The 11,819-nt window shown below is 39.3% G+C and overlaps 1 long non-coding RNA gene across 1 annotated transcript in view; it reads left to right on the forward strand.

Moving 5' to 3' along the window:
• The window catches only part of LINC00850 (long intergenic non-protein coding RNA 850), a 54,092-nt gene that overhangs the window by 41,063 nt on the left and 1,210 nt on the right, over nt 1-11,819 (forward strand). The window lies entirely within an intron of this gene.

Genomic DNA, 11,819 nt, shown 5'->3' on the forward strand with positions numbered 1-11,819 from the left:
AACCTTTGCTCTGTCATTCCCATTGCAAGAGCATACTCCAAACTCTTGGCATTATCCTCCTGACAGTCATAAGAGTGGTCTCCCTAGTTCACTGCATCCTCTCGAAAAGGCTTAGAAATCTCCATGCAGCCATCTGCTGAAGGCTAAATGGCCTCTCTCCAGCTGGAATGATGAAAGCTCCAAGAAACACATGACAACAAGGACACTGTAATATACAAATGGCATGTTAACACCAAAAATCCAAAACTGATGGTAACTGAGTGTAGCACTCATGCCCTCTGATTTGGCCACACTCTCACCCTGGCCAAAATGGGGGGATTGTGAAACAAAGTTAATGGGAGGCCATTGTGTCAGACCAGCCTCCTTTACTAGGCCCCAGAAGAACAAATCGGAATGGAGTCATTCATGCTAATTGTCATGAAATCAAATTGAACTTTCAAATGGGCCAGTTAAAAATAATTCGGAAAATTCCAATCCCGGTGTGTGATGTCCCCCTTCCTGTGTCCATGTGTTCTCATTGTTCAATTCCCACCTATGAGTGAGAACACGCGGTGTTTGGTTTTTTGTCCTTGCGATAGTTTGCTGAGAATGATGGTTTCCAGCTTCATCCATGTCTCTACAAAGGACATGAACTCATCATTTTTTATGGCTGCATAGTATTCCTTGGTGTATATGTGCCACATTTTCTTAATCCAGTTGTTGTGGGGTGGGGGGAGGGGGGAGGGATAGCATTAGAAGATATACCTAATGTAAATGACGAGTTAATGGGTGCAGCACACCAACATCGCGCATGTATACATATGTAACAAACATGCACATTATGCACATGTACCCTAGAACTTAAAGTATAATAAAAAATATATATATATTTAAAAAAAAAGAAAATTCCAATCAACATGAGTCAGCATAATCAGGAAGTCTCTTCCACTTTAGTCCTAAATGGAAAGCAACTTTGAAATGACCAACCTGCTTTTTGTTTTCTGTTTCCACTCTCTTCAGTACTTTTCTGGCTACAAAGACAACTTCCTCTCCTCTGTTCAATAGAACACTCATTCTACTTGAGAGAGGTTGTGAGTCTGAGGGTCTGATTATGTGAGCCTATTCTGGTCCTCTTACTTCTTCACTGTGGAACCTGGGCCATGTCTGAACCCTTCCATGGTCTAGTCTGGCTCATCGGAGAGATGGGCTCCTTCCAAATACCCATTGAAGGGAGGGTTGCACATAGCAAATGACACAGACCCCCAGAGCACTTTGTGCAGCAGTTTCCTGTCACCCATTGAATGCTGACAGAAGGTGGGTGAAGGGCAGGTGGTGTGGCAGATTCCTGAGTGTGCAAAAAAGAAAAGTGCAGTGGATGACAAAGCTGAGAGGGCAAGGCCTTGGACATACGAAAGGTTGATGTCTACGCAATCAACAAGTTCCTAGCCATGGTTTAGCACATAATTGTGTCCTGGGGACATAATTCCTCCTCTGGCTGCTTTCTGGAAGGAAATTCAGAAGAGGAAATTGTAAATATCTTGGACTCAAGAGAGGCTTGCAGCTTCTAAGTAGGTAGCTCTAGGCTGAGTCAAACCTTGAAAACAATTGTGTGAGCAAAAATGGTTTTTACATATCTATGTGGAAGGCTCCTTGCAAATCCAAGCTATGGCAGGAAGAATTTGGAATGTGGCTCCAGCATTCTCTAGAAACATGAACCTGGGAGTCCAGGGACAGGCACAGTGTGGGCATTCAGGGTTTCCAGCTGGAGGACTGTCCCTTGCAAAACTTTGAGGTCTGGGGTTGGGTGCAGGGAGTGTGGTCCTGGAAGATGTGTTGGAAACCTTCCCAGGGCCAAGTCCCACAGACTCATGTAGGAATCCAGGCCCTGGTCCAGTAGCCCTGACTGTTACCCAGCCAGACCTGGAACAAGTTATACCATGTCTTCACAGTTCCGAGATGTGAGATGAACCATCCATCATAACAGATTTTCAGGAGGAAATGAAAATAAATGCACTAATCAGTGTACAAGTGGATCTGAAGACATATACAGGTTTAGAAATGTTAAAATATGAGGGAAGGCATATTTTAGACATACTGTAACAAAAGCTACTTCTTACTGACCACATCATTTGGGCCAGTCATTTTACATGCAGGTGGGTGACATCAGGTAAAGACTCACACCAGTTCTCTGAACTTGTACTATCATGTTCCCACTTTACAGATGAAGAATTGAGGCAGAGAAGGTACGTGATTGGCTCAGCTTATAACCAGCAACAGTTGCATTTAACAGGGCTCTGCCCTCACCCTGGCCTCAGCTGTCTACCCCATGACCAGGGAAGGGTTGCTGTAATCAACAGTTACCCAGTGCCAGATGCCCCATGCCACATGGCTGAGGCCTGCAAGGAAGCCAGTGAGAGACTGTCACTGGACCTGGCCCACCTGTCTTCTCCCCATCTCCATTAGGACACCACCTTTTCTAAAATACAGACAAGGGCCCTGGAGGAGAGTTGGGGTTTAGGACAGAGTGGGTGAGGATGGAGAAGCTTCCACTTGTACATGGATGGTGCAGGTCCCTTCCACCCTCCAGAGGCTGCACTCCTGTTCAAGGGTGGGCCCTACACTCCCATATACCTGCCCTGAATCATCTCCTTCATTCCTAGCTGACTGGGTGACCCAAAGGTCACCTGTAGGCCAACCCCACTGGGCAGGCTGACCATTGGCCACACACTAGGGCCAGCAGGCCAGAATACAATGCCTACAGTGAGGAGTCCACCATAATCCCACAAGATGCAATGCCAATCACCATAACCCTAAATGCTGAAATCCCAAAATATCAAAATGCCAAAAATGCACTTCTGGGAAAAATAATTTTAAAAATCATTGAAGATGTTTATTTACCTTTAAAAATGTAGGCTTATTTGAGAAATGTAAAAACATGATAGAATACTTCATAAGCCACTTTATATAATGAAATAGACAACAATAACATGCATATATTTGCAAGCACAAACAGTTACACCAATGACAGTCACACAGGTATAACTCTTATAAGCGGACAAACCATAATCATAAAGAAATAGGTCACACAAGGAAATGTATCAACAAATATTACTATAGTTGATAATTTTGTAAACTCATTTTATAAGTTTGGTGTCATATGAAATACTGTGACCAACAACCTAAGTCTTTTACAACTACAATCAAAAACCATTATGGATCACCACTGCACACACCTTCACCTAGAGTCAAGATCTCGAGAAATTTTATCTTTCAAAAATGCACATGAACAAAAAAAGACATCTCTTCATTTATTCAGCAAGATTATACATGCGTCACAATGCTTACACACAAAGCATTGTGATAATGTACTTTTGTGGAATCTAATTTGAAAAAATGCATAAAACAAATTAGACTCTTTAAAAGTCTCTACACAATTTATGCCTCTAGTACTGGAAGCAATGCCAAGATGAAAGAAATATGACACATTGTAAAAAATAATGCTGACAATTTAACATAGTGAAAAAAAGAAAAGAAATAGGAAACAAAAACTTTAAAAAATGACATAAGAAAAAGTGCATCACAGGTATAAATTACGGGCAATTGCATGGAGATAGTGGTTAAGAACTGGCCAGATTTCACGATCATTTACTATATTTTGAAGTCATGCATCGCATCATATAGCTGCTTTTTTTTTTCTCTTTTAGGACATGGGTATCCTCAGTGAATATATTCACATTCGTTTTCTTCATGGCACTGCTTTATTGAAATTCTATGTTACACTGACATGAGCATTCTCTATTAACCTTTCTCATCTTCTGCTTAGGGATTTTGATATTTTGGAATTTAGACTTTAGAAAGATTGACCTTTTGGGGTTTCAACATTTGGAATTGTGGCCTATGGGATTGTGTCTGTTTGGATCCAAACCCACTAGATTCGCACACTGTATTCATTCATGTCTCCTAATTCTCCCTCTCCCTGCTGACGAAGTGCACAGATCACAAACATAGACTTGCTTAATTTTCATATGTGAATATCCCTGGAGGGCCCATCGTCTCTCAAGAAATTAACATATTCTCTGAGAATCCCCCTCATTCCCCTCCCAGTCACTGTCTCCCAAGGTAACCACTATCCTAACTTTAGTGGATAGAGTAGTACTGCCTGTTTTGATCTTTATTTAAATGGAATTATTGAGCTGATATTCTTTGGGTCTGGCTATATTTGATCAAAAATAGATTAGTGACCTTCATCCATGTTGTAGAAGTAACAATGGTTTTTTCATGCTCATGGCTGTATAGTATTCCTTTGTATATATCCCAATGTATTTACCCATGCTAGGGTGATGAACACTGGGGCTGTTTCTAGCGTGCTACTGAGGGCATGCTTAGACACATCTTTTGCCAAATGAATGTATGCCTTTTCACTAGTACATACCTCAGAGGGGACATTCTGGAGCTTAGGGTGTACGGATGTTCTGCTTTAGATCATACTCTTGGGTCTCTTTTAAGTCTCCAGCAGACCTATTGCCCACAATGTCTGCCTTCATCCCATTGTCCTTTTTCATTCTATTGGCTTGTTTTAGCAGACTGGCCTGTGGTCCTGCAGCATGTCTCACCACCATTCATTTGTCTGTATGCTGCCTTCTTGTGTCATTTAACTTGTTGCTCTTTCCCAGTGTTTCTGATCATAGGAAGTTAGCCTCTGTGACAAGGTTAGAGGCAGGTCTCACTCTTCTGATAAAAGGACTTCATCAGTGGTGCCATGTCTCCTACAGCATCCCAGCATGAAGCACATGAGTTCTGGTTTTTTCACTCTTTACCATATCAGCACTGATCGTGGGTTCAGGTGATGACAGTCTCGTTCCTCCTTTGACTGATTCCTCACTGACCTTTAACCAAAGTGTTTCATTCAACCTACATCAGTTCAGTCACTGGGGTTCTAGATATTGTTTCTTTTGTTAAACATAGCCTTCACTAGGCTTGGCTTAAATTTTTCAGTGAGGAACAGCTCTCCCTCTTCAACTGTGCCTGTAGAGTAATCTTAAAATACACAGGAAGGGCAGAATAAAAGTTTAATTCTTTCCATTGCTAGTCATGCTTCCTTAGTCTTGTCTTAGTTGTAAAAATTCCTGAGACTGTCCCTGTTTTTGATGATCTTAACACTTTTGAGGAATATTGGTCAGCTCTTTAGCACAAAATCCATCCAGTGGTATTTGTCTTATCTTTTTCTCCTGATTAGAATGGGGATATGACAGCAGATCCTCCCCCACCATGAGTGATCACTCCTGCTTGTGGGGCATAGAGAAGGCACCTAGACCTGCACTCACCAGCACCCCACCCCTGAGTCACCACCACCTCCAGTGTGACCACACACACAGTCTCCAGCAGGGGGCCCCCATCCCCCATCCAGCTGCATTGCCTCCGCCACTGTGGTGAACACACGCAGGGAGGTAGGCACCCTGGCACCCACAAACACTCTACCACAGCTGTTGTACCTCTGCCTGCACAGTGCAGTGGATTCCAAACCTCGAGGAGCCAGAGAACAAAGATGGGACCCAATACAAGTCCCCCAGAATTAGAACATACAGTCCAGGTGTTGAGTGCTGAGTGTTGGCCCCCAGAAACAAAGCCAGCCAGCTGACTTTTTTTTTTGAGATGGAGTCTCACTTTGTCACCCAGGCTGGAGTCTCACTTCACCTTACACCACAGTCGAACATTCAAGGTCATCAAATGGGATAAAAGAAAAAATCCATCCAAAGGTCAGAAACCTCAAAGACTGAAGGTACATAAGCCCACAAAGATAATAAGGATAATAAGAATCAGTGCAAGAACCCTGATTCTTGATGAAGAGTGATGCAAAAATCCTCAACAAAATACTGGCAAACTAAATCCAGCAGCACATCAAAAAGCTTATCCACCACGATCAAGTAGGTTTCATCCCTGGATACAAGTTGGTTCAATATATACAAATCAATAAATGTAATTCATCACATAAACAGAACTAAAGACAAAATCACACGACTATTTCATAGATTCAGAAAAGGCTTTCAATATAATTCTACACCCCTTCATGTTAAAAACTCTCAATAAAATAGGTATTGAAGGAACATACCTCAAAATAATAAGACTCATCTATGACAACTCACAGCCAACATCATACTAAATGGGCAAAAGCTTGAAGCATTTCCCTTGAAAACCGGCGCAAGAGAAGGATGCACTCTCTCAGCACTCCCATTCAACATAGGACTGGAAGTCCTGGACATGACAATCAGTCAAGAGAAAGAAATAAAGGGCATCAAAATAGGAAGAGAGGCAGTCAGTTAAACTATCCCTGTTTGCAGATGACATGACCTATATCTAGAAAACCCCATAGTCTAAGCCCAAAAGCTTCTTAAGCTGATAACTTCAAAAAAGTCTCAGGATACAAAATCAATGTACAAAAATCAGTAACATTCCTACACACCAACAACAGTCAAGCCAAGAGCCAAATCAGGAATGAACTCTCATTCACAATTGCCACAAAAAGAATAAAATACCTAGGAATACAGTTAGCCAGGCAGGTGAAAGATCTCTACAATGAGAACTACAAAACATTGCTCAAAAAAATCAAAGATGACACAAACAAATGGAAAAACATCCTATGCTCATGGATAGGAAGAATCAATGTCATAAAAATGGACATACTTCTCAAATCAATTTGTAGATTCAATGCTATTCCTATTGAACTACCATTGAGATTCTTCACACAACTAGAAAAAAAACTATTTTAAAATTTATGTAAAACCAAAAAAGAGCCCAAATAGCCAAGGCAATCCTAAGCAAAAAGAACAAAGCTGGTGGCTTCACACTACCCAACTTCAAACTATACTACAGGTCTATAATAATCAAAATAGTATGGTACTGGTATAAAAACAGACACATAGATGAATGGAACAGAATTGAGAACCCAGAAATAAGGCCACACACCTACAACTATCTGATCTTCAACAAACCTGACAAAAACAAGATATGGGGAAAAGATTCCCTATTCAACAAATGGTGCTGGGATAATTGGCTAGCCATATGCAGAAGATTAAAACTGGACTCTGGCCAGGCGCGGTGGCTCGTGCCTGTAATCCTGGCACTTTGGGAGGCCAAGGCGGGCGGATCACGAGGTCAGGAGATTGAGACCATCCTGGCTAACATGGTGAAACCCCGTCTCTACCAAAAATACAAAAACTTAGCCGGACGTGGTGGCAGGTGCCTGTAGTCCCAGCTACTCAGGAGGCTGAGGCAGGAGAATGGCGTGAACCTGGGAGGCGGAGCTTGCAGTGAGCCGAGATTGTGCCACTGCACTCCAGCCTGGGTGACAAAGTGAGACTCCGTCTCAAAAAAAAAAAAAAACAAACAAAAAAAAAAACCTAGACCCTTTCCTTATACCATATACAAAAATTAACTCAAGATTGATCAAAGACTTAAATGTAAAACTTATGAAAACCCTGGAAAATAACCTAAACAATACCATTGAGGACATAGCAATGGGCAAAGATTTCATGACAAACATGCTGAAAGCAATTGCAACAAAAGCAAAAATTGACAAATGGGATCTAATTAAGCTAAAACGCTTCTGCACAGCAAAGGAAACTATCAACAAAGTGAACAGAAAGCCTGCAAAATGAGAGGAAATTTTTGCAAACTATGCATCTTACAAAGATCTAATATCCAGCGTCTATAAGGAACTTAAACAAATTTACAAGAAGAAAATAAACAACCCCGTTAAAAAGTGGGCAAAGGACATGAACAGATACTTTTCAGAAGAAGACAGAAAACATATATGCGGCCAACAAGCATATGAAAAAAAAGCTCAACATCACTGATCATTAGAGAAATGCAAATCAAAACCACAATGAGATACCATCTCACAGCAGTCAGAATGGCTATTACTAAAAAATCAAAAAATAACAGATGCTGAGGAGGTTACAAAGAAAAAGGAATGCTTATAAACTGTTGATGGGAGTGTAAATTAGTTCAACCATTGTGGAAGATAGTATGGCAGTTCCTCAAAGACCTAAAAACAGAAATACATTTTGACCCAGCAATCAAATTATTGGTATATACCCAAAGGAATATAACTCATTCTATTATAAAGACACAAGGACATGTATGTTCATTGCAGCATCATGGACAATAGCAAAGACATGAAATCAACCTAAATGCCCATCAATGATGGACTGAATAAAGACAATGTTGTACATATACACTATGGAATACTATGCAGCCATAAAAAATAATGAGATCCTGTCCTTTGCAGGAACATGGATGGAGCTGGCGGCCATTATCCTTAGCAAACTCACAAAGGAACAGAAAACCAAATACCACATGTTCTCACTTATAAGTGGGAGCTAAATGATGAGAACACATGGGCACATAGAGGAGAACAACACACACTGGTGCTTCTCAGATGGTGGAGGGTGGGAGGAGGAAGAGGATCAGGAAAAATAACTAATGGGCACTAGGCTTAATAGCTGGGTGATGAAATAATCTGTACAACAAACCCCCATGCCACCAGTTTACCTATGTAACAAACCTGCACATGTACCCTTGAACTGAAAATAAAAATTAAAAAAAAAAAGAATAGAGATAGGGACATTTAGGAGAAGATCTCAGAAGTAAAATGTCATTCTCATTACATCATATAAAAGGAAATCACTAGACATATGAATGGTTTCTCATGGTTGATGTTAGCTTTGATATACAGTTATTCTGTCAACCTACAGTAATCAAGAAAGTATGCTATTGGCAAAAGAACAGATACACATCAATGGAACTAAATAGAGCCCAGAAAAAGACCCACACAAATATAGTCTACTGATTTTTGACAAAGGTGCAAATTCAATTCTATGGAGAAATGACAGTCTTTCCACCAAAAGGTACCTGAACAAATGCATATCAATATGCAAAGAAATGAACCTAGAAAGAGCCTTACAACTTTCACAAACAATTATCTTAAAATACTTCACAGACTCAAATATAAAATGTAAAATTATAGAATTTCTGGAGGAAAACATAAATGGAGATCTACATGGCCTTGATATTGGTGATGGGTTTTTACATACAACATCAAAAGCATGCCCATAGAAGACAAAATTGAAAAGGTGGACATTCTAAAAATTAAAAACAAAACTACTGCTCTGTAAAAGGCACTGGTAAGAAAAAGGAAAGATAAGCTACAGACTTTAAGAAAATATTTGCAAAACATACATCTCATAGAGGACTTGTATCCAAAATCTACAGAGAAAGTATAAAACTAAACAATGAGAACTATTCAGAATATACAGAAAATGCTTAAAAGTAAATAAGAAAACAAACAAGAAATCTCTATTAATAGATGTGCAAAAGCTCTGAACAGACAAATTAACAAAAAACATGTACACATAAAAAATAAGCATAAGACAACATAGTCAATGTCATTCTTTATTAGAGAATTATGAATTAAATAACAAAGATACACACTTATTAGAATGTCCAAAATCCAAATACTGACAATACCAATTCCTGGCAACAAGGAACTCTCATTTGTTGCTGTTGGGAATGCAAAGTAGTACAGCCACTTTCAAAGATGGTTTGTCAGTTGATTTTTTTACAAAGCTGAACAAATTCTTGACACTCCTAGGTATACATTGAACTAATTTGCAAATTTATGCCCACAAAAAAAACCTGCATATGAATGGGTGTGGCAGCTTATTTAATAATTGGCCAAAACTGGAAACAACAAAGATGTTCTTCAAGAGACAGATGAATAAACAAACTGTGGTCCAACAACAACAGAACACTATTCATCAACCAAAATATTTACTTATCTAGGCACACAAAAACATGAATAAATCTTAAATGCTTAATTCTAAGTAAAAGAAGCCAGTCCGAAAAGACTACATAGTATATGATGCAATTTATTTGACGTTCTGGAAAGACAAGACTATAACGACAGTAAAAATACCTGTTGTGGCCAGGGATCAGGGGTGGGGAAAAGGTATGACTAGGATAAGCAGAAGGAATTTATTAGACAGGTGAAACTATTCTCTAGGCTACTGTAATGATTGATTTTGTCATGTCATGGTTGATGACATGCTGTCAAAAAATGGAATATATTATGCATTTGTCAAAAAGCATAAAACCTTAAAGCACAAAGAGTAAACCTCAATGTATGCAAAATTGAAAAAATTAGGAGGTCGAGGAATGCCAAGGTGGAGTATAGAATATGACAAAACAATATAACTGTGTTACAAATCTATGAAACAACCTCTAATGAGTATCTGGGGATATGGTGCTGTCCTAAGTACCTGTGGAAGTTAGTCTCTGGGACCGAAGTTAAAAGAAACTGTACTGAAGCAGTATTGTCTGGCTTCTAAAGCTATTTCTCACAGGGACTGGGTTTAAGAATTCTGATTATAGATATGTGTATATACACAGGTTAATATACCAAAATATATATCTTTACTCTGAGAATTGAGGTGGCTAGGAATAACAAATCCTCAGGAACAATGAGCATGCCAAGCACCCACCTCTCACATTCCAATACTCTTCTCCCATAAAAGGAAGCAGAAACCATGGAAAATTGACTCTTCTATGACTGGAACAGGAAATATAAAAATGAGCCTGCATCATCTTGTCATACCATAAAGTAAGACAGAGCTACAAACAAATGTAATGGCTCAGTTACGTGAAGGGGACATCAGAGCCAACTGAAAGAGCTTCCAATGGACAAAGATGGAACAATCTGAGCAGCAAAATAAAAGTGGTGTTGAATTATAACCCCAAACATATAATAAATTACCATGAGTTCAGCCGAGACAAATTGAAGGTTAAATAAATACAAATAATGGGGGAGAATAAACAAATCTCCCATTGAGAAGAATCCCAAATCATTCATGTCAATACTACCCCTTCCCAAGAAGGTGGACCATACTTCCCTACTACCCAATGGCTGCCCTTAGTGACTTTCTTTTATAAAGCACAATACAGAAAGGGGGGAATGTAATAACCTTGCAGAGGGAAATCCTGACAACACTACCTCAGCCAGTTCATCAGTCAACATCAACAGCGATGAGTCATGTTGCTAAAATATCGTGTAATGAGAATGGCATTTCGCCTCTCTGGTCTCCTACCCCAAAGCCATTACTCAAGTCTATATATGAAAAAACTCAGACAAATACCAAATGAGGGTAATTCCACAAATAGCCTGATCGATACTCCCCAAAACTGTTAAAGTCATCAAAAACAAGAATAGTCTGAGAAACTATCACAGCTTAGACTAAAGTAGCATGGTATCCTAGATGGGATCCTCAAACAATGACAGGAATGTGCAGGTGAATATTGATTTATGAATTATGAAGAATGTATCATATTATTGCATGATGTTAATAATAGGAGAAACTGGACATGATGTATAGGAAAACCCTCTTAACTGTCTTCGCAACTTTTCTGTAAATTTAAAATTACTCTAAAATGTTTACTAAAAAAAAAAAAACACTTAAAGGAATGGGGAAAAAAGCCAAAAATGGGGAGAAAATACTTGTAAACCCCGTGTCGGATAAAGGATTCATATACTGAATGAATAAACACCTTATAACATGCAACCACATAAAAATGAAGAGTCCAATAAAATAGTAAATGATTTCAAGACTTCACCAATGAAGATACACAGATCACAAAAAAGCATATGAAAAGATGATTACCATAATTATTCAATAAAAATACAAATGTAAACAGCAGTAACATTCTTCTACCCACCTGTTACAATTGATACAATGCAACAACCTGAAAATACCAAATTGTACAAAAGATGTGGCATTCTCTTTCATTGC

Source organism: Homo sapiens, chromosome X (assembly GCF_000001405.40).
Source record: "Homo sapiens chromosome X, GRCh38.p14 Primary Assembly".
Taxonomy (NCBI): domain Eukaryota; kingdom Metazoa; phylum Chordata; class Mammalia; order Primates; family Hominidae; genus Homo; species Homo sapiens.